This window comes from Homo sapiens, chromosome 16, assembly GCF_000001405.40.
Source record: "Homo sapiens chromosome 16, GRCh38.p14 Primary Assembly".
In the NCBI taxonomy this organism is placed as follows: domain Eukaryota; kingdom Metazoa; phylum Chordata; class Mammalia; order Primates; family Hominidae; genus Homo; species Homo sapiens.
Genome location: NC_000016.10, coordinates 59,403,753 through 59,428,593, shown reverse-complemented (window position 1 = coordinate 59,428,593; position 24,841 = coordinate 59,403,753). Strand labels below are relative to the sequence as shown.

Here is a 24,841-nt window from a genome sequence, read left to right as displayed (position 1 = left end):
CTCTCATGTTCAATAGCTAAGATCTTCGTGAAGATGAATTGCTTTGGAACCAACCAAATTTGAGGTGAACATTTGACATGCTGCGGAGGTGGGGTGACCATAACCATCTTTTACAAGATGAAAATATGAACTCAGAAATATGACACACCCTCTCAAAATGGTAAGTAGCTTTCAACTAGTAACTTTTCCCCTGCCAGTTGGAATTTATAAAAATATTTTAAAATTGGATTGATTTTTTGTTATAAGCAATCCTTTCTCACTCTTGAGCCCCTGGAGAGAGAATATTAATATCATTTTTTTTAGATTTCAGGTTTTGAAATAGCTATTAGGAACCTGTATATCTGAGTTAATTTCAGGGTATGTTTTGATAGCTGCATCAAATAATAAAATCAATGGTTAGTTCATAAATTATGTCAGTTAATGAAATCAATCAATGATAAGCTTATTAACTTTCTCCCTTTGAATCTATTGTTTTCTCATATATAAAATTCTTAGTGTGCCCTTTGGTATTTAAGATGGTCAATTAACTGTCTTATCTTCCAGCTGAATCAGTTTATGAATAAAATATTTTTGAGCGTTTTTTAAAACCTGAATACAGTTCAAAGATTTTTTAGTTTAGTTTTATTGTTTGTTTTCTACAACTTATAGGCAATGCAACATAATATTTTGTCATTTTATCTACTTAAAATTTATTGGAATTGCTCCTTTTTTACACTTAAAGATAATGAATTCTAGGTTAATTTTTTTCCCCAAATTCCCAGAGCTAGTAAAGAAAAACTGGAGGTAGAATATTTTGACAAGGAAATAATAGTTGAACTGGAAAATGAGAATTTTAAAATAGAAAGGGAAAAATAAAATATTTTTGGCACAGAACATCCCTTTAAACAAGACCCTAAAATAGGAAATCTTAAAAGAATTATATTTTCAAGAAATTCCTATAAAACTATTATTTCAAAATGTTGATTGGAAAGAGGGTCATCAAATGTATACTAACAGAACGTCACTTAGATTAGAATTGTGGCAATGACTGGAAGTGATATTAGGGCACAGCAGGAAAAGAAAGGGAGGTATTTCGTATTTTTATTGAACATCACCATATATCCTGGTTTGTCCTACACAGTTCTGGCTTATGCCTTTTGTCCAGATGTAATTATTAATAGCACCTGCTATGGTTTGAAGGTGTCCCTATCAAAGTGTTGGAAACTTAATCCCCAATGCAACAGTGTTGAGAGGTAAGACCTTTTAAGAGGAGATTAGGTCACGAGGGTTCTGTGCTCATGAATGAATCAATGCCATTATCAAGAGAGTAGGTTTGTTACCACTGGAGCAGTGTCCTTATAAGGATGAATTCAGCAACCTTCCCTCTCTTGCATGTGTATACTCTCTTGCCCTTTCACCTTGTTCCATGGGATAGTACAGCAAGAAGGCTCTTGCCAGACACAAGCCCCTAGACCTTGGACTTCCTGGCATCTAGAACTGTAAGAATCTCTATTCTTTATAAATTACCCAGTCTCGGGTATTCTGTTATAGCAGCACAAAAGGGATGAGGATAGCACCCCTTTCGTTTCAAAAGCACTCCTGTTTAAATGATAGTTATATAGTCATCTTAATTAACATACTTAATAGAACATACGATAATGTTCACTATCCTGGAATCTGATGCGGATCTCACCAAACCACCATCTTTGTCTCTGACTTAGGAACTGATGTAGTTTGGTGTCAAAGACATCATTGCTTCATATGAATATTTAGAAGCTTGATGTGTAATAATGGCTGCAAAACAACAAAATGACATGGAAAATTTTCAAAAGAATGAGTTAAATAATTTCCACTGAACATGACTTGGACAGCTCCCTTCATCAGCTAGAACGAAAGGAAGATGTGGAATAATGTACAAACTTGACCCCTTTAGGTAAGCAAATCTTTAAAAGCTACATATGTAGTGGGAATTATATTTTTGAAAGTAATTTGAGGAATTTTTATTTTTTATTTTTTACTTTGCTTATATGTTTGTGTGTGTGTGTATATGTGTGTGCGTGTATATGTGTGTGCATGTATATGGGTGTGTGTATTTTTATATAGAGTGACATATAAAGAGAGAGCAAGAGTTAAAATTTAAGGGTAAAAAATTCTGAATGGAAAGATCATGTGTTTCTTTTATTTTCTGCATATACATTATTGCTCTTTAAGAAAATAACCATGGAATATTTCAGAAATTTTGTTTTCTTCTCTTAGATTGATGTACAAGAAATAAGGCATCGCTTTCTAAACTTTCTCTCCCAAACATCCACCCTTGTACTCTCAGACTTCAAAACTACACTCAAGGGACCTAGATGTAACCAATTCTTGATTTGCCTGATAGCACAACGATGTAACATCATCTTCTTACTACAAAAATGGTGAGAAGAGTTTAATGAGCATATCTGGAAACTAATGCATACTACACAGCCCTATTTAAATATAAGATACTTTTATTTTGGTCAAAATGTCATTGGTCATTTAAAACTGTCAAATCTATTCCATTTTAATTTAATCTTTGTTGTTTTTCAGAAGAAGTGAACCTTTCGGAGCTAATCATCTTGGTGGTATAATTAGGGAACAGTGAGAAAAAGCTCAGAATAAGAATTTCAAATCATCTAGAGCTGCTTTTACAAACTTCATACACTCTCTTAAACTGTGTAATTTCAAACAAACTTATTCTTTTTGAATCTCAGTTTCTCATCTATAAATTGGGTCCTGCCCACTTTCTTCCTGGACTATATTCTACATTTTTTTCTATTCTCTCTCCTGGCTTGCCCTAATAAATCAAGTCTGTCTAGATTCTGCACCAGAAGCAATTTATATTGAAATCTTTTATTGCAGGAGAGCTCCTGATATTAACCAATTCACTTCCTAGATCTGGTATGCAATGAGCATGGCAACTGTGGTGTATGGAAAACATGGCTTTAACATATGTCTTTACCATTGGCTTTGAAATAAGTTACAATGTTCCAGTGATCTGCCTTTATTTCAAAGTTTCTTATTTTGGGAGGTATGGAGGGGCTTCAAAACATCTGTGAACCTTTTGAAAGTGTTCTGAAAATTCTGTGGTCTGTGTTGAAAACATATGTTTCAGTACTTGAGAACTACTCTTTCAAATGAACATGAACCATGAAAACTGCTTACACAACTGGGGATTTAGACAAGATTTTGAATATTGTCCAACCTGAATATAGATAGGATCTGATTTCTTTTCAAAGATGAAAGAGGAATAAGGCTATCCAAATAAATACAGCATGCTGTAGACGGAGAACAGACTTGCAGATTGAACAGCAAGGACTGCCCTGTGTGCCTCAAACCTCCTGATTCCCACTTTACAAAGAAGAAAAATAGCACATTTCCACTCAGTCCTTTTCACAGATATTTTCTCCTTTGCTAGGAATGCATAAATGAGTCAGTTAATGAAAATGGAAAATATAGCCTTCCCGCTTTCTAACACAATTCATGAAATCAGCAAGTTGACTTAAGAAATGGAACGTGTGTGACAATGATTAAAGGTGCTGTGTCAGACAGGTTCATAAAAGGATTTTTGTATCTGGAGAAAAAAAAATACATTTCCTTCCTTGAAGCAGAGGGGCAAGAAGTACTTTTGTTTTAAAATATATCATGACATCTTTCTTGCTAGCTTCAGCACAGGACTTGTCACTTATAATCTTTATTTTAGGCTAATTAAACTATCAGTCTTCTTTTGTTACTCTAAACAGAACACAGTCATTATATTTTTTCTGGTCAGTTCTTAATGGGAAGAACATAAGGTCATTTGTCTTTTCCAGAATCCCCTCAGCTATATCTAAACTATATAAATGTTTTCTATAAATGTCTGAAGATTTTTAATTCAAACCTACATTTAGCAAAATGCATAGCACCCTGTTTGACAGCAATTGGGACACACACCATGACAAGCTCTACAAAGAATATTGAGAGTCTTGCCATGAAAAGAGCAAGTGGCATCTTGCTGTGTCTAACCCTTGGAAATTGAGATTTAATATTGTTTGACATTCGAGCATTGAAACTCAACTGAGGCTTGTAAAAGTTGTTCTCATTTAATTCTTGGTTTTGCTTTAGAGTAGAAAATGTTTGAAATAAATTTAACCCAACCCTATGTAGGTCCAAAGTTTTATTACTATATGAATTTGCCAACTACATTGCTTAGGGTTCTCCTGACAAACAATTTCCAGGTCCTCTTTTTTTCATTTTTAGTCTGGAAGAAATGTGAATGTCTTAATCTCAAAGAATTTTATTTTGCAAATCACCAGGAAGTCCGTACCTTTTTTTCCCTATACGTCTTCGAGAGCACTATGTTAGGGACCCACATGGTAAAGAAGATAAAATGAGTAATAGTCATAGGAACTCAAGCATTTGTTACATAATGTTCAGAAAATTTAGCCTTTCTCTTTCTTGCTGTCTTCTTATTCTCTCTCTTTCACACACACACACACACACACACACACACACAAGAAAATACATATAAATGTAAACTATCACTCTATATACAACCTTTACTCTCATTCCACAAAGCAGAAGTACTATGATATATATATACATAGAGAGAGAGATAGTTATATAGATATAAATATAGATATAGATATAGATATAGATGTATCTCCAACACAGGGCTTGTATCCAAAATATAAAATAAGCCCTTACTAATTAATACCCAAAAAGCCAGACATCCCAAATGAAAAATGGACCAAAATTTTAATACATGCTTCACAAAAGCATTACCAATATACATATGAAAAGCTGTTTGATCTCAATTTGTCATGAGGAAATGTAAATTAAAATCATAATGAAATACTACTTTACACCCATTATGATGGCTAACATTTAAAAAAAGATGAAAAAGATGAAATATTGGTAAGGATGTAGAGCAATCAGAACTTTTATACTACTGGTGGCAACATAAATTTGGAAAAATATTTGGCAGTAACTACTGTGTTGAATATATACATATCTTATGACCCAGTAATTCTACTTCTAAATACAAACTCAACAAAAATGTGCAAATATGTTCATCAAAATACATGTATTAGAATATACAGAAGAGTACTGCAAAAACTGGAAAAACCCAAATGTTCATTGCTGGAAGCACTAATAAATAAACTGTAGTCTATTTGCATGATTAAATAAAACATGAAGAACAACCATATGCAAAAAAAAGAAGGATCATGGTACCACTTATATAAAGTACAAAAACAAGCAATGCTAATCTATACTGATTGAAGTTGAGAAGTCAGGATAGTGGTTATCCTGGGATCAGGGCAAAGAATTCATGATTGTAAGGGATCATGGGTAGGTGGAGGGGAGAAGAGAGTGCTGATAGGGTTCTGGTAACATTCTATTTTTTTAATCTTGGGGTCAAATACATAGATGTGTTTAGTTTGTGCAACTTCAGTTAACTGTATGTTTATAATACATACATTTTTGTATGTATATTATACTAACTCTGTGCTTAAGGTTTCTAAGTTAAAAAATAATCATTCTTTCTTGGCTTGGCTTAGATAAATATTCAAATACTAATTTAGATGTTTGGCTGGGAATTTATTTCTACTTTATGAAGTTAAAATCAAAGTCCTTATACCAAAGAATTTTGCAATCAAGGGAAGAAGCCTAGCCAAACACTTGTTCCCTTATTCTAAATAATTTTAGGCAGGCTCTCATGGTTCTACTAACACTAATATTAATAACAATTTAGTTTATGGCAAAATTTACAGTATGCCTTCTTTATTATAGTCAATTAGGTCCAATGGTCAGGACATGCTGGCATCTGAACTATTGGAAATGTTGCAAACTTTATAAAAGTGGGACTTTTGGCATCAGAACACAAAACTTATTTTAATCCTACTGGATAGGGAAAAGTTTAAAGCATTCTCCCCGAGAACTAGAACACGAAAAGGATGCTCACTTTCACCACTTCTATTCAACATAGTACTGGGAGTCCTAGCCAGAGCAGTCAGGCAAGAAAAAGAAATAAAGGGCATCCAAATTGGAAAAGAGAAAGTCAAACTTTTGCTCTTCACTGATAATATGATCGTATACCTTGAAAACCCTCATTCACAAGGCTCCTAGATTTAATAAACAAATTCAGTAAAGTGCCAGGTGACAAAAATCAATGTACAAAAATCAGCAGCATGGCTATAGGCCAACAACAACCAAGATGAGAATTAAATCAACAACTCAATCCCTTTTATAACAGCTGCAAAAAAGAAGAAGAAGCCTAGAAATATACTTAACCAAGGAGGTAAAAAAAAAAAATTCTTCAAAGAAAACTACAAAACATTGCTGAAAGAAATCACGGATGACACAAATAAATGGAAACACATCCCATACTCATGGATGGGAAGAATCAATATTTTAAAAATGACCATACTGCCCAAAGCAATCTACAGATTCAATGCAATTCCCATTAAAATACCATCATTATGTTTCACAGAACTAGAGAAAACAATCCCAAAATTCATACAGAACCAAAAAAGAGCCTGCATAGCCAAAGCAAGACTAAGCAAAAAGAACACATCTGGAGGCATCACATTACCAGATTTCAAATCATACTACAAGGCTGTAGTTACCAAAACAGTATGGTACTAGTATAAAAATAAACACTTAGACCAATGGAATGCAATAGAGAATCCAGAAATAAAGCCAAATACTTACAGCCAACTGATCTTCAACAAAGCATACAAAAAAACATAAATTGGGGAAAGGACACCCTATTCAATAAATGGTGCTGGGAAAACTGGCAAGCCACATGTAGAAGAATGGAACTGGATCCCCATCTCTCACCATATACGGAAATCAACTCAAGATGGATCAAAAACTGAAATCTAAGACCTGAAACCATACAGATTCTGAAGATAACATTGGAAAAACTTCTGGAAATTGGCTTAGGCAAAAAAATTCATAACTAAGACCCCCAAAGCAAATGCAACAAAAACAAAAATAAATAAATGAAACCTAATTGAACTAAAAAGTTTCTGCACAGCAAAAGGAATCAGCAGAGTCAGCAGACAACCCACAAAATGGGAAAAAAAATATTCACAAACTATGAATCTAGCAAAGGACTAGTATCCAGAATCCACAAGGAATTCAAACAAATCAGCAAGAAAAAAACAAATAATCCTATCAAAAAGTGGGCAAAGAACATGAATAGACATTTCTCAAAAGAAAATATATAAACATATGAAAAAATGTTCAAGATCACTAATCGTCAGGAAAAAGCAAATTAAAACCACAATGAGATACCACCTTATTCCTGCAAGAATGGGCATTATTAAAAAGTCAAAAAACCATAGATGTTGGCATGGATGTGGTGAAAAGGAAACACTTTTATTCTGTTGGTGGGAACGTAAATTAGTACAACCACTATGGAAAACAGTATGGCAATTTCTTAAAGAACTAAAAGTAGATCCACCACTCAATCCAGCAATCCCACAACTGAGTATTTACCTAAATGAAAAGACGTCATTGTATGAAAAAGACATATGCACATGTGTGTTTACAGCAGCATAATTCACAATTGCAAGGATATGGAACCCATCTAAGTGCCCATTGACCAACGAGTAGATTTAAAAAAAAAATGTGGTACATAAACACCATGGAATACTACTTGGCCATAAAAAGGAATGAAATAATATATGTTGAAGCAACTTGGATGGAGCTAGAGGCCATTATTCTAAGTTATAATGGTTAAAATTAAATGTCAACATGTCAACTTGATTGGATTGAAGGATGTAAAGTATTGTTTCTGGGTTTGTCTGTGAGGGTGTTGCCAGAGGAGATTAACACTTGAATCAGTGGACTATGAGAAGAAGACCCACCCTCAATCTGGGAAGGCACCATTCAACTGGCTGCCAGCAGGGCTAGTAAAAGCAGGTGGAAGAGGGTGGAATAAGCTGACTTGCTGAGTCTTCCAGCTTTCATCTTTCTCCAGTGCCGGATGCTTCCTGCTTTTGAACATCAGACTCCAGGTTCTTCGGCCTTTGGACTCTTCAGTGGTTGCTAGGGGTTCTCAGGCCTTCAGCCACGGACAGATGGCTGCACTGTCAGCTTCCCTACTTTTGAGGTTTTGGGACTCAGACTAAGCCACTGCTGACTTCCTTGCTCCTCAGCTTGCAGACAGCCTATCATGGGACTTCACCATGTGATCATGTGAGTAAATTCTCCTTAATAAACTCCCTTTCATATGTACATGCATCCTATTAGTTTTGTCCCTCTGGAGAGCCCTGACTAATGCGTAAGTGAAGTAACTCGGGAATGGAAATAAAGTATCTTCTCACTTATAAGTGGGAGCTAAGCTATGAGGATGCTAAAACTTACAATGATATAGTGGAATTTGGGGACTTGGGAGGGGAGGCTGGAAGGTGGATGAGAAATGAAAGACAACATATTGGGTACAGTGTACACTGCTCGGGTGATGGGTGCACTAAAATCTCAGAATTGGAAAAGGTGGAGCAAGGGTAAAAAATAAATTAATAATAATATAATAATAATAATAAAATCTCAGAATTCACCACTAAAAAACTCATCCATGTAACCAAAAACCACCTATAACCCAAAAACTATTGAAATAAACAAATAATTTTTGAAACAAAAGAACCATTTTAATTTCTGGCTCTGCCAGTAGCTCACATTAGGATACCATGCAAAATTACTCAATCCCTCTGAGCTTCAGTATTCCCATCTGTAAAATGAGAATAATAATCCACCTACATGGTATGTGAAGGTTAGATGAGATAAATTATGGAATAGGCTGAGCCCAGGACATGGCTCTTACTTAAGCACTCAAAAAGCGTAGATGGTTTTAGTTATTAAATATATATTATGTATATTCCATTACAATTATTATGTATTATTATAATTCCTCTTGAACCTGAGTTTCAACCATCTTTCAAAATGGGGAAAATAGTAATCACACATACATGCACACACATGCAAACAATGTATGCACTCATTTATTATTCAACAAATTTTATTGAACATCTACTATGTTTGAGCACTGTTCTGCATTCTACAGATAGAGCTGTAAATCAAACAGTTGTAATTCTGTTAACATGCAGCAGCATTAAATCTGATTATGTATGCATTAAGTTGTGCATAAAATTGTGATAAAATCTCATTGTATATGCATAAAAATGTATGCAGCATAGTATGAAGCATACTTTAAGTAACAAAAGCAACCACTGAGAAAACACTAGACTGAATACTAGAACAGCCTATTTCAACAATCAGAACTACATTTACAAACATTCAAACCCCTCAGTGGACCTAGGATTCAGTATGACCCTGAAATGGTATTTGTATGTAAGGATTAAAGTCTGTTAGTTGTACTGTTTTATAAATACACATAAACACATATATAAATACATATACATATACATGTAAAAGTTCTGTAATATATGCTCTATAACACATATATGTTCATATATGTATATGCATATACAGAGATATAATTTGCTGCTATATACATATATATTGTATAGATGCACTATTTGCACAGTACCTGGAACATGGAGGACATTTGTTAAATATTTTTTAAGCAAATGTAACATATTTTTGCTGCAAAAACAATCTGATGATACCTTAATTAATATCCAGTATGCATCAGCACCTTCCTTTGTGAGAAAATCAATTCAATCTTAATAACTTCTGAGGTAGCTTCCAAACTTGGCATCAGGTTTTAAGATGCTTTCCAACTGAGAAGTAAGTTTAAATGTATAAATGTTGGTTGAAGAGTCTGATATTTTCACACAACAAAGTTATTTGCATTGTAACTCTATCTTGCCTGGATAAGTTCCACTAAGTTGAAGATAGGTGTAGGGGGGAAAAGAGCCCTTTCCTAAGATTTTGCTGAGATGTGAAATGCAGAATAAGCCATGACACTCAATTGAAGAATTAACCAAGGCACAATTTAGCATGCACCTATTCTATTTTTACATTATCCTTTACTGACAAAACAATGTACAGATATTGAAAAGCTTTTTGAATGTTTTACAACAGATTTTTTTTCAAATGCTTACAATTCCATCTAAATTCTGATAATCTGTTGTAGGCTTCAAAACAACACATCCAGTATCATGTCCCTACACTAATAACAAGCAGAGCATATTAACCACATCACAAAACTGTAATGAAAAAAGATTATGATCACTTTCAGTCAGCACAAATATTTTAAATAATGCATAGCAAAGATGTTATATGAAATCCATTATTCATGGCTTTTCTCATACATATATTTGAAAATGGAATGGTACTTGGTTGCCCTGGGTATTTTTGTCACAGTATGTAACGTAGTTCATAACTTTCTACTCTGCCACATTTTTGCCTTAAAAGAATTCTCTAACTGGATCGTTAGTCATTTAGACATTACCTTTTGCCTACCTGGCAGATGATATGCTCCCTTTAACCATTTTTCTTCCCCATTTCAGCTGTTCGACTGCCTTTGGCTCTCTCCTTTGCATGCATACACATTCTTTCACTTACAGGCTGATTTTCTGTTGAACATAGGGTATATGCTCTTACTGTATAAGACTTGTGATTAGTCAGTCAAGGATTGTTCAAAAACAATTTTATGGTGTGCTATATATTTAATGGGGAAAAACAATTTTTGAAATCTCTAATTAATAATAATAATGAAAAAGTGTGACTGGTGCCAAAATTTCAACTTGATTCCCTGACTTGAGGTATTTTTCTTTTCATATACATAGATAGTAAATATATATATATATATAATATACATAAGTATATATTTGATAACATGAGAATATCTGGATAAATTCTAAGGCAACATCGCTCCCATGGTAGTCATTCATTTAGGATCAAACTCATTACTTAATGTCACAATTTCCATATAAATGCTCTCAGATTGTACTTAAAAGGAAAAGTAAATGTAGAGTAAATTAAAATTTCAATGGATAAGTTCAAAGCAAAAAAACTCATTTTAAATGGTTTTAAATGGTCAAAATGATGTAGCGATTGATTGAATTAATTTATTAAAGTTCTTTTAAAATTTTTTTCACAAGGAACTCTGCTGAGTGCCACTGAGAATTAAAAGATGAACAGGATATGGAATAATCTTTGGAGGGAGACATGTACACAGGTTGTGGAAATAAAATATAATGTGATAATGCAATAATGGACATAATTTTTTATGTCAAAAGGCAGAGATTAAGGATAACAGAGCGACCTTCATGAGGGAGGCTGGCTTTTATGCTGGGTTTCTAAGGATGAATGGAATGTCACTAATGGAGACGAGAGAGAATGCACTGAGGCAAAAAAATAAAAAATAAAAAAGACAGAATGAGCAAATACGTGGTAGTGAATACCACGGAGGGATCTACTGGACCTATGTAAATAAGACTACAGTTTGCTGTAGGTAAGAGTAGAAAATAAGGCTGCAAGTGTGGATAGGGACAGAGAATGGAAGACCTTAAATTCCAAGCTGTAGGTTTTAGCCATTACTAATAAACCATGTAGAGACATTGAAGGTTTTAAAACCAGGAAGCAACATGCTTAAAATGGTATTTTGATGGATACATTCAGGGAAAAGACAAGTTAGGGGGAAACATCCAAGTTCTAGGTCACACATTGTCTGAATAAGGCAAGTGGCAATTGGGATAAAAAGAAGAGAGGTGTACAATTATTAGGAGTAAAATATATTGCCACAGTATCCTAAGTAAAAAGTCGTGGCCACTGATTTGTTATGCACTTTTTTAGAAGTAGATTCAGCCACACTGATTACCCAAGTCATGCAGGCAACTGCATCCACTGTTTTCTCGTTCTTTCAAAGTTACTCACAGAAAAGTCCAAGAATACCTACTTTAAATTCTGTACTTCTTTAGTGTTACTTTTCAGTACATTGAAAACATACTCCTAGAGAAGGCTCAACATGTGAGACTTAACCAGCTGCCTGCTGACTGATCCCTCTGGAGGCCCTTTATATGAATCCCTTGATTTCAAGACTGGTCTATAAAAAAGAACTAAGGTATTTGGGGAGCTACACTGACAAATGTATGTATACAGACATAATAGAGATCACTTAGAATCTAGAGAGGTTAAGTTTGAGTTATTTTCCAGATAGTGGCCTTTCAGGTATGAGTATGCATTGGAAATTCTAAGAGATATGGGGCTTGATTATATGCCATGGAAAATGTCATCCGCCTATTCCCCACTGTCAGCCCCGCAAATAAAGAGAGGCCCACTGATTACAAAGCAGCAGGTCTGTAAGGAACTTTTGACTTTTAGGCCATATAACCCCTTCTTTTGGGATTCAAATCCTGAAATTTAGAAATGTGAAGTGATTTACAAAACTGTCCACAGCTACTTAGTGGCAGAGCTGGGAGCAGAATCCAGTACCCTTGATCCCATTCCAAATTACTTCAATGGAACACACTGGCATTTATTTTTCTATGGACTTTTTGTATCAGATATATTGACACAAAACTTAGGTTTACTCATGATTTTTTTTGTCTTTGGTATACTCTGGAATCTGACCTCCAAATGGAGAAATCTATATTCTACTCCAAAGATAGTATACTCATTTTGATGACTTCCTTAGAAAGTGTGTTTCTATGGTGCTGAGTTTGATGATGCCAGGACTCAATGATTTCACTGAAATATTCTTCCCTCTAAATTAGTGTTTTAAAGTTTGGTCACAATTTGCCATTCTGAGGAATCCTTTTGATACTTGGATTGATAAATCATATTGCATTCATTTTGGAGCTAAATGAAAAAACAATGCAAACATTTGAGCAAATACAAAAGGAGTTCTTCTTTTGAAAAAGTAGCACTAAATATCATTTCCAAGTGCTTTGAAACAGGAATAAATTTCACAACCATAGGTATTCCACAGAACCATGACCAATAAAAAGAGCATAATGAAAAAGTAATGCTTACAAAGATTTTTCTCCTGATGCAAAAGTCAAAACTTAATTTTGCCAAATGGTTGTATAGTTGCTACTTTAGATCACTAGAAAATAATGAATAGGCCTTTGCTTTTTTTTTTTTTTTTTTTTACAATTCGCTTTAGTTTTCATGACAGCCCTTTTAGCATTTTCCCTCATATAACCAGTTTTATGTTAGGCTTCCAGTGGAGAAATGGGACTGCCCACAAACTCATTACTGAGGAATAGCTATCCTTTATCTGGAAAAGTCTTTATCTTTCACCCAGTTTATATGTATTTTGGAGTGGAGTGGAAATGCTCAAGGATCTTGATAAGGAATTATTATTCAACAAACCCGAAGATTGTGCAAATAAATCCTAAAGATCAACGCAATGACAGATGCAAGATTTTCAGTATTTTATACAAATGATCTGCGAATGGATTAATAAATCTCAATAGAATATCAGAGTTTTGCTTTTTGTAAGATCCTAAATGATTTGAGTCTGGATAGAACATCAAATCAGCCAGAGCATTCCCTTAAACCTTAAACTAAAGCCTGATCCAGAGTAAGGCTCTAACTTTCTTCAGTTTTACAAAGGCTGGGAGAGGTTAGGAAACTTCAGAGAAAAAGTTTAAAGTTAGCAGAGGTTGGTTCAGAGGTTTAAGGAAAGAAGTTGTGTCCATAACATAAAAGTGCAAGATGAAGCAACAAGTGCTAATGTAGAAGCTGTGGCAAGTTAACCAGAAAACATAGCTAAGATAATTGATGAAAGTGGTTACACGAAACAAAAAGTTTTCAATGTAGATGAAACAGCTTTATATTAAAAGAAAATTTCATCTAAAGACTTTCGTAGCTAGAGAGAAGTCAATGCCTGGCTTCAAAGCTTCAAAGGACAGGCTGACTCTCTTGTAATGGGGTAATGCACCTGATGACTTTAAGTTGAAGCCAATGCTCATATACCATTCCAAAAATCATAGATCCCTTAAGAATTATGCTAATTCTAATCCAACTGTGCTCTTGACATAAAACAAAAATCCTAGGTGACAGCATATCTGTTTACAACATGGTTTACCAAATATTGTAAACCCACTGTTTAGACCTTGTTTAGGCTTACCGTTAAGAAAAAAAAAAAATCCTTTCAAAATATTACAGCTCATTGACAATGTACCTGATCACCCAAGAGCTCTGATGGAGATGTACAAAAATGTTAATGTTCTTTTCATGCCTGCTAACACAACATCCATTCAGTAGCCCATAAATCAAGAAATAATTTCAACTTTCAAGTCTTATTACTTAGGAAATACATTTCATAGGATGATAGCTCCCAAAGATCATGATTCTTCTGATGGATCTGGGCAAAGTACATTGAAAACCTTCTGGAAAGGATTCACCCTTCTAGATGCCATTAAGAACTTGTACCTCATGAGAAGAGGTCAAAATATCAATATTAATGGGAATTTGGAAGAGGTTGATTCCAATCCTCATGGATGGCTTTGAGGGGTTCAAAACTTCAGTAGGGGAAATAATTACAGATGTGGTGGAAATATCAAGAGAACTGGAATTAAAAGTGGAGCCTGAAGATGTGACTGAACTGCTGCAATCTCATGATTAAACTTGAAAGGTTGAGGAGTTGCTTCTCATGATGAATTTAAAAAGTTGTTTCTTGAGGTGGAATCTACTACTGGTGAAGATGCTGTGAACGTCATGGAAATGACAATGAAAGATTTAGAATATTACATAAACTTAGTTGAGAAAGTAGTGGCAGGGTTTGAGAGAAATGACTCCAATTTTGAAGGAATTTCTACCATGGGTAAAAATGCTGTCAAACAGCATGGGATGCTATAGAGAAATCTTTCATGAAAGGAAAACTTAAAGCAGCAAACTTTATTGTTGTCTTAAGAAATTGCCACAGCCACATCAGCCCTCAGCAACCACTGTCCTGATCAGTCAACAACCATCAGCCACCACCTTGATCAGTCAACAGCCATCAATATCAAGGCAAGACTCTCCACTACCAAAAGATTATGACTCACTGAAGCTCAGATAATCATTAGCATTTTTAGCAATAAAATATTTGTTGATTATGGTACCTACATTGTTTTTATTGACATAATGCTATTGCATACTTTACAGGCTACAGTATAGTGCAAACATAACTTTTATATGCACTGGAAACCAAAAAGTTTGTGACTCACTTTATTGCAGTGACCTGGCACCCAAACTCCAAGATATGCCTGTAATTCCTCTGTACTTACACTCACTAATTTACCTATTTTCTATAAGAAATATCAATAGTTGTGTTAATTTAGAAATTGGGAAGAAATTTCTAACTATGAAAGTAGTCTCGGCTGGGTGCGGTGGCTCATGCCTATAATCCCAGCACTTTGGGAGGCCGAGGTGGGCAGATCACTTGAGACCAGGAGTTCAAGACCAGCCTGGCCAACATGGCGAAACCCTGTCTCTACTGAAAATACAAAAATTAGCCTGGCATGGTGGCACGTGTCTGTAATCCCAGCTACCTGATACTCAGGAGGCTTGAACCCTGGAGGCAGAAGTTGCAGTGAGCCGAGATCATGCCACTGCACTCCAGTCTGGGCAACAGAGCAAGACTCCATCTCGAAAAAAGAATGTAGACCCCAGGATTTCCTATCAGTACAGAGTAATTTATATTTCAGGAAAAAAGGAGCAGGTAATAATATTTTAAAAATCAGTTCAATTTCAACTTTAATTCTACCTGTATTCTCATACTTACTGAATTGTTAGTCATCTTAAACTGAAAAAAGTTTTGCTGTCAAGCCAAATAAATTTTAGCTTTATTTGAGATAAGAAGTTTGTAAGGTTTGCCCAATAAAGAGTTAAATATTTGTGGCAGATCTCTTCTTCTGAGATCCCTTTTGTGTAAAGATTTAAAGGTTCTCTGAGTTAGAGTAATAGCCTCTGATTTCCTCTCCATCTCTTTTACTGTTTCCCTTTCAAATCTTTGATGCAAGCAAAATAAAAGAAAATGACAGGCTTTCAAGCTTTTGTCTTACGACTTATACGCACAAGTTCTACATTTCAACATTTTTAAATGATCTTATGTATCTTAGTGCCATGAAATTTCAAACCTGAGTCTCTGTCTTTCAGAAGGTAAGGTCAGTCTTTCTTTTGCTCATCATTTTCCTTTATGTCATTTTTAACCACATTGATACCTGGTTACGGTGTGCTCTTTCAATCTCTTTACTCTAGCTCCTTCCAGTGGTAAATCACAGATGTGCTGCAGACAGCAGAGATCTGGGATTCTTTTGATGTGACAGGAGTGCAATGGTGAGTAAAGATTTTCCCTGTACTTTACCAGTTTCTCTTGCTTCCAATTTAAAATTGAAGGTGAGGTTCTAATGGAGCCTGGATCCATTAGTTTATTCAAAATCGTAAGGCACTTTGTTCACTTGGTATAGCACTTTCTCAGGCTGTATAAAGTGGAGCAGTTTCTGAGATGCATGGATAAAAATCTCCAAACCCTGGCAGAAATCCAGCAGTGCAATTCCATAAAGTACATGATATACACATTTGCGCAAGCTGAAGCTTCCTTTGGGCTCTAGGGAAAATAGTGCTTCTAATAATGGCAGCAGGTGTTTTTACTAATGATCTTTTAATGGCATTTTTGATAGTTTTAATTAAACCCCAAATATTTTTGTTGGAAAAAATAAAGGACAAATGGTTTCTAAGGCAAAATAAATAGTGTTTTTAAGAATGCATTTAAAAAGAAAAATTAGAAAGAAAAGGAAACTGCATGTTGTCTCATTAAGGAAAGCAAGTAATGCCTTAATAAAGTCCAACTGGAAGTATAATAATTGAAAGGTACACAGTTAAACCATTGTTATAAAAGTTGATAAAGGTTGCAGTTGGAAAATAGTTTTATGGATTTATTTAAAAATCAATATCATATTCTGTCTCTAAACCAATAAGGAACACAGTATTTATATTACACCAAAATATTTTAAATATATGTAAATATAGGAACAACATTATGGTCTGCTATTAATTATGAAGAGGATCAAAATCTTAGTCAAATCTGACTGCATCCCTAAGAGATGACAGCGAGTTCAAGGGAGCTTTGGATGAGCAATGAGCTTCAACCAGCATGCTTTTTGCTTGGCAAGTTAAACTAATCCAGTTCAAGACTAGAGGCATGTTGGCTTAGAATTATGGATGAAAGCAGGTAATTTATTATTTTCTATATTTTACTTATGATGTCAAAAAGTCTCACCCAACAAGACCTATTTTGGAGTGACAAACAGTAGGATATTCAAAATCTCTGCAGTCCAACACAATGATAGAAAAAAATATCTCAAGACAAAGGACAGGTTCTTGCTTAATATCACCAGTCTCTGCAGAAAATGTGTTCTTCACCTTCTCCTGTGTGTGGTTTCAGTGCTTATTGGAGACGAACTGGTAGTAGAAGCCTTGTTCATTCATCATTTATGAAAGACTTTCCAGTAAAATTAAATTTGGACTAGGACATTACCATGGCCAGCTTGCACAGTTCTAATAATCTGTAGCTTCTGCCTTTCTTTATGCTGTTTCAGAGCCAACCTTCAAAAGCATTATTGTCACAGTAGAAATACTTCTTAGCCACCAAAATGGGCAACACTTCTAAAATTTATTAAAAACTATAAATGAGGTCGAGTATCACGTATAGGGAAAACTGCTAACTTTGCATGTGGTATCCAGAACCCTCCATACTGTGACCCCTATGCACTCTCTGTCCACCTGTCTCCCAACAACCCAACCCTCTCAACCACATCAATCTCCATCCAAGATCCAGCAATAGCCTACTGCCTTTAATTTCAGAAAAAAAAGATCAAGAGGTTTTGTACTAATACACATGATATAATAACTTGCTTCAAATTCACTTCCATGCAAGTTGTGTCTGACAATAAAGCCTGTGCACCCCTTTAAAGCCCTGTTTAGATGAGCTTCCTGACCTTCTTCTTCCAGCTTCTCAGCAAAGCTTTAACAATTGAAGGCAGGCAGGATAGGCTGAGGGCAGAAAGGAGGTGAGAGGACTCTTATCATCTTTGTATCCTTATCTTTTTCAAATTATAGTTTGTGTTATTTAAGATAAAGCTAACTGGTGTGAGATGGTATCTCATTGTGGTTTTGATTTGCATTTCTCTGACGGCCAGTGATGATGAGCATTTTTTCATGTGTCTGTTGGCTGCATAAATGTCTTCTTTTGAGAAGTGTCTGTTCATATCCTTCGTCCACTTGTTGATGGGGTTGTTTGTTTTGTTCTTGTAAATTTGTTTGAGTTCTTTGTAGATTCTGGATATTAGCCCTTTGTCAGATGAGTAGATTGCAGAAATTTTCTCCCATTTTGTAGGTTGCCTGTTCACTCTGATGGTAGTTTCTTTTGCTGTGCAGAAGCTCTTTAGTTTAATTAGATCCCATTTGTCAATTTTGTCTCTTGTTGCCATTGCTTTTGGTGTTTTAGACATGAAGTCCTTGCCCATGCCTATGTCCTGAATGGTATTGCCTAGGTTTTCTTCTAGGGTTTTTATGGTTTTAGGTCTAATATTTAAGTCTTTAATCCATCTTGAATTAAATTTTGTATAAGGTGTAAGGAAGGGATACAGTTTCAGCTTTCCACATATGGCTAGCCAGTTTTCCCAGCACCATTTATTAAATAGGGAATCCTTTCCCCATTGCTTGTTTTTCTCAGGTTTGTCAAAGATCAGATGGTTGTAGATATGTGGCATTATTTCTGAGGGCTCTGTTCTGTTCCATTGGTCTATATCTCTACTTTGGTACCAGTACCATGCTGTTTTGGTTACTGTAGCCTTGTAGTATAATTTGAAGTCAGGTAGTGTGATGCCTCCAGCTTTCTTCTTTTGGCTTAGGATTGACTTGGCAATGTGGGCTCTTTTTTGGTTCCATATGAACTTTAAAGTAGTTTTACCAATTATGTGAAGGAAGTCATTGGTAGTTTGGTGGGGATGGCATTGAATCTATAAATTACCTTGGGCAGTAAGGCCATTTTCACGATATTGATTCTTCCTACCCATGAGCATGGAATGTTCTTCCATTTGTTTGTATCCTCTTTTATTTCATTAAGCAGTGGTTTGTAGTTCTCCTTGAAGAGGTCCTTCACGTCCCTTGTAAGTTGGATTCCTAGGTATTTTATTCCCTTTGATGCAATTGTGAATGGGAGTTCACTCATGATTTGGCTCTCTGTTTGTCTGTTATTGGTGTATAAGAATGCTTGTGATTTTTGCACATTGATTTTGTATCCTGAGACTTTGCTTAAGTTGCCTATCAGCATAAGGAGATTTTGGGCTGAGACGATGGGGTTTTCTAGATATACAATCATGTCATCTGCAAACAGGGACAATTTGACTTCCTCTTTTCCTAGTTGAATACCCTTTATTTCCTTCTCCTGCCTGATTGCCCTGGGCAGAACTTCCAACACTATGTTGAATAGGAGTGGTGAGAGAGGGCATCCCTGTCTTGTGCCAGTTTTCAAAGTGAATGCTTCCAGTTTTTGCCCATTCAGTATGATATTGGCTGTGGGTTTGTCATAGATTGCTCTTATTATTTTGAGATATGTCCCATCAATACCTAATTTATTGAGAGTTTTTAGCATGAAGGGTTGTTGAATTTTGTCAAAGGCCTTTTTTGCATCTATTGAGATAATCATATGGTTTTTGTCATTGGTTCTGTTTATATGCTGGATTATGTTTATTGATTTTCATATGTTGAACCAGCCTTGCATCCCAGGGATGAAGCCCACTTGATCATGGTGGATAAGTTTTTGATGTGCTGCTGGATTCGGTTTGCCAGTATTTTACTGAGGATTTTTGCATCGATGTTCATCAGGGATATTGGTCTAAAATTCTCTTTTTTTGTTGTGTCTCTGCCAGGCTTTGGTATCAGGATGATGCTGGCCTCATAAAATGAGTTAGGGAGGATTCCCTCTTTTTGTATTCATTGGAATAGTTTCAGAAGTAATGGTACCAGCTCCTCCTTGTACCTCTGGTAGAATTCGGCTGTGAATCCATCTGGTCCGGGACTTCTTTTGGTTGGTAAGCTATTAATTATTGCCTCAATTTCAGAGCCTGTTATTGGTCTATTCAGAGATTCAACTTCTTCCTGGTATGATCATTAAAAAGTCAGGAAAAAACAGGTGCTGGAGAGGATGTGGAGAAATAGGAACACTTTTACACTGTTGGTGGGACTGTAAACTAGTTCAACCATTGTGGAAGTCAGTGTGGTGATCCCTCAGGGATCTAGAACTAGAAATACCGTTTGACCCAACAATCCCATTACTGGGTATATACCCAAAGGATTAAAAATCATGCTGCTATAAAGACACATGCCCACGTATGTTTATTATGGCACTATTCACAATAGCAAAGACTTGGAACCAACCCAAATGTCCAACAATGATAGACTGGATTAAGAAAATGTGGCACATATACACCATGGAATACTATGCAGCCAAAAAAATGATGAGTTCATGTTCTTTGTAGGGACATGGATGAAGCTGGAAACCATTATTCTCAGCAAACTATCACAAGGACAAAAAACCAAACACCGCATGTTCTCACTCATAGGTGGGAGTTGAACAGTGAGAACACATGGACACAGGAAGGGGAACATCACACACTGGGGCCTGTCATGGGGTGGGGGGAGGGGGAAGGGATAGCCTTAGGGATATACCTAATGTTAAATGACGAGTTAATGGGTGCAGCACACCAACATGGCACGTGTATACATATGTAACTAACCTGCACGTTGTGCACATGTACCCTAAAACTTAAAGTATAGAAAAAAGATAAAGCTAGCAGTTGAATTAAACAAACCCCAGTATATGTCATAGCTCATAGATATTAAAAGTGTATTTATTACTCATGTAAAAATTTTAAATGGCATTTTTCATCAAGAACAGATTCCTCCAGAAATAATTTTGGGACCAAGGTCCCCATGCCTGGCTGCTCTATCATTGTCCACATGTAACTTTCAATGTACTCATCTACATCAAGCTAGAGAAAGGGTAACAGAGATGGAGAAAATACTCTCATTTTCTCATAGTCTTGGCCTTACACATGTACTTCTACTCAGATTCTACTCACAAGAATTAGTCACGTGGCCTCACCTAAATGCCAGGGCACTGCGAAATACAATCCCCGATTGGGCAACTGCTTCCTAATAGCAGCCCTACACTATGAGAGGAAGAGCATGAATATGGATGGGTTGGTTGCAGCATGTGTCAGATAGTTCATGTTTTAATTAGTTAAAAAGGCAACATATGGGAGTTCCTTCCTCAAAAATTTATACAGAATTACCATATGACCCAGCAATTCTACTCCTGGGTATATGCCCAAAAGAATAGTACACAGTCTTCAGACAAAAACTTAAACACAAATAGTCACAGCAACACTATTTGCAGTAGCAAAAAGGTAGAATCAACCCAAATATCTATAAAATGATAAATAGGTAAACAAGTGTAGTATATCCATACAATGGAATATTATTTAGTCATAAAAATACTCATACATGCTACAACATGGATGAACCTTGAAAACATTACGCTAAGTGAAAAAAGCCATACACAAAAGGCCACATATTATTTCATTTATACTAAATATCCAGGGTAGAAAAATTGATAGAGATGGAAAACAGATTTGTGACTGCTAGCAGCTAGCAAGAAGAGAAGATATGGAGTGAGTGCTTAATGGGTGCAGGGTTTCCATTTGGGGAAATTAAAAAGTTCTGGAACTAAATAGTGGTGATGGTTGCACAACACTGTGAATGTACCTAATGCCATTGAATTGTATACTTTAAAATTGTTAAAATGATCGATTTAATATTATGTTTATCTTACTACAATTTAAGAAGGCAGCATGGCTTTCTGGAGACATGTACTGAATCAAACCATTAGCTTATAATATTTTATTATATTTAATGACATAAATAGCATACGACCTCAAGCAAAAAGAGTAGTTAATGCTATTCCTTCTCTATGTTTTCTTTTCTTTGGGAATTTTATAATTTTTTCTTCCTTCAACCCAACAAATATTTTTTTAACAGCTTATTGGTTCCAGACACTGGTCTGTGTGTTTACGCTTATCATAAACTCAAAGCTCTGAAAGAGTCCTAAGGTATACTTAGAGAAGATATGGGTCCTGGATCAAGATAGATAGTAATAGAAACTTGCCAGTGGTCCAACATGCTAATAATACCATCTTATAATGCGCCAAAAATGCTGGGACACTTGGTCCATTTTGTCATTAAAGATAGTTGACCACTGGAGCTAGCAAACAACACACCAAGTGTGTTGATGCTATTGTAAGGCTTTAGAGCAAGTGTAGAGTTATGATATCACACTCAGAGTTAGATGAAAAGCCTTGCCAATCTAAACCTTAGTTAATATCTAAACATTTCTACTCTGATATAAGATGCTGATGTTCAGGACTTTGAAGAAACCAGTGCGTCATTCCATAATTCTCTATGCAGGTGGATAAATGTGGCATCCTGAATGATACATAACAAAATAACTTGAAATCCATTTATATTTGCATTTGCATTTTGATTTTTTTCTTTGTTGTCATTGCACATTTGCTTTCATAATCATATCTTAGCTAACTGTAACAGTAAATGTGGTTTATCTTCTCAAATGACAGATGACAACGACAGGCAGTCTTAAATGATCTGACTGGCATATTGAGCTGGTTGAATTTAAATTTAACTGAGAAAAGTCATATAATCCTAGAACTGGAAGGATGCCTAGGGAAAACTTAACTTTATCTCTTCATTTGTATATAAGAGTGAACTAAAACTCAGAGATGTGTATTTATATTATTTTCAGAAGGAGCTGGTTTGGACGTGTTGTCTCAATGTAATTATTAATAATGCCTCTTTTCTTTCTCAAAGATCTCCTGATTTAGAAGGTAAATTAGATATTCACCTCATCTATATCTTTTTGGTATTGTGGATTCTTTAGATAATATTTTACAAACTCAGGCAACCCATCCATAAAAAGCATATATATATATATATATGCTTTTATATATATATATATGCTTTTATATATATATATATATATATAAAACATTTGGATCTAGTTTACCAGCAACCTCAAGCTGCGAGCCTTTGATGTAGATTTTACATCCAATAAAAACATATTGATCAACTCCTGTGGACTGCAAAAGCAAAGCTGCCATTAACCACCACACCCCAACAAGGTATGTCTTAGTGAACACATCAGATCAGAAACTAAGCTAAGAGTCACCATGACATGGTATGGTTGGGTAATGACTTGACCTCAGGCCTCCTAATCCAGTGGCCTTTTTAACATAAGAAGTGCTGAGTATAGGGTTACAGATATAATATCTTAGTTTATATCCTGACTGACACTTACTATGTTACTTCAGACAAGTTGCTTAACTCTTTTTGCTTTATTTTTCCAATTTGTGAAATGAAGATGATAGTAGAAGTACCTACCTCATTCTGAGTTGTAAGGATTACATAAAATAATATACCAGCAGTGCTTGCAAGACTACCTGAAATACAAAAATCTTTCAATAAATGTTTCATATTATTGGTAAGCAATTGCTTCTGTGCAATTACACGTGACTAAGTGAACACATAAGAATATTAATCCCTAAGTTAATTAATAAATATCAATAAGATTAATATTAAACTACTACTTCAGGTTATTAATACTTATTATACAATACAAAAAAAACAAGAGTTGAGAAACAATGGAGAATTTAACAAAGTATGAAACTGTCTTCACAGTACACATGTGTCCTCAAAATATTTGATCCTGTAAAAATGGTGATACGTATCAGAGACAGTGGAGAGTGGACTGCAGAATGTGAAACTATGAGTATGTATCTGCTTAGCTTCAGAAAACTTCATGAGTTTTAGAGATACACTAAGCAAGGTATTTACAACCTACACACCATCATCATGCTACTTTTCTTACAAAAAGCATCAGTAACTTCAATGAAGTATCAACATTCAAATTTTGATAACGTCATTCTATCCCTTCTTCCTAAAATCATTCCTCATTGTGTAGGGCATATTGTAGCTATGTCTTATTCTATAGATTGATTAATTGATTAATTTCAAGGTACAACCCTGGAGGTGGGTGTCAGTGACTTGAAGTATTTCATTGGTAGGAGGTTATTACTCTATAAATAATGAGCTGACACAGCCACCTGAAATGAGGCAGAATAGAAGAAAGAGAGATAATGTTCTAGCTAAATTATGCCCTGCATATTCATACAAACTCTTCATTTTCTTCAAATATCAGAATGTGACTTTGAATTTTTTTCTAAGTTAGAAATCTTACTTTCAGTAACAGAAACTAAACTTTAAATTGCTTGAGCTAAAAAGGGGTTTTCTTGATGTGCCACAATAGCTTTGAGGGAACTAGTTGTCTCTTTATATGTTATTTCTACCTCTGTTCCGCATTGGCCTCACTATTCCTTGAAATTTTTTCTCCTCAATTTATTTAGCAGAATGATATCAAAAAGTCCCCTGGTTCACATTTCATATTGTAATATTATTTCTTCAAAATGAATTCCTAGTAAATAAAAATCTTACTAATACATTATCACTCATAGTAAACAGATAGATGGAGACAAAGGTAAGGTCAGTTGACAGAAGAACAGGATTAAATAATATTTAAAAATTAGTGTCTACAACAAATTTCTTTAAAATGCCTCATTTTATGCACAATTATCCACAATAATAGTTGACTGGATGTCTAAGAATGAATTGCAATGTTCACTTCCTTGAAATAGTTTGCACCTGATGGAAAATAACTTTTTTTAGCTGAACTCCATGTTTCATTTATAGTAAATTATCATCTTATCAAAAAATATTATCATTTGAATTTGTAAACAGTTGTCAAAAATGAGAAATCCAAGTG

General features: G+C 35.1%; 2 long non-coding RNA genes across 2 annotated transcripts in view; both read left to right on the top strand.

Moving 5' to 3' along the window:
* The window catches only part of LOC105371298 (uncharacterized), a 29,410-nt gene extending 13,417 nt beyond the window's left edge, over nt 1-15,993 (top strand). The window contains exons 2-5 of the long non-coding RNA XR_001752331.2: nt 17-160; nt 1,701-1,912; nt 2,236-2,399; nt 15,909-15,993. This is a non-coding gene — a long non-coding RNA (uncharacterized LOC105371298). The remainder of the gene's footprint in view (nt 1-16; nt 161-1,700; nt 1,913-2,235; nt 2,400-15,908) is intronic.
* A 157-nt stretch (nt 15,994-16,150) lies between these two features.
* Nucleotides 16,151-23,784, top strand: LOC107984824 (uncharacterized). Its single transcript, XR_001752330.1, has 3 exons — nt 16,151-16,224; nt 16,918-17,119; nt 23,701-23,784. It is a non-coding gene; the product is annotated as an uncharacterized LOC107984824 (long non-coding RNA).
* The last annotated feature ends 1,057 nt before the right edge of the window (nt 23,785-24,841 follow it).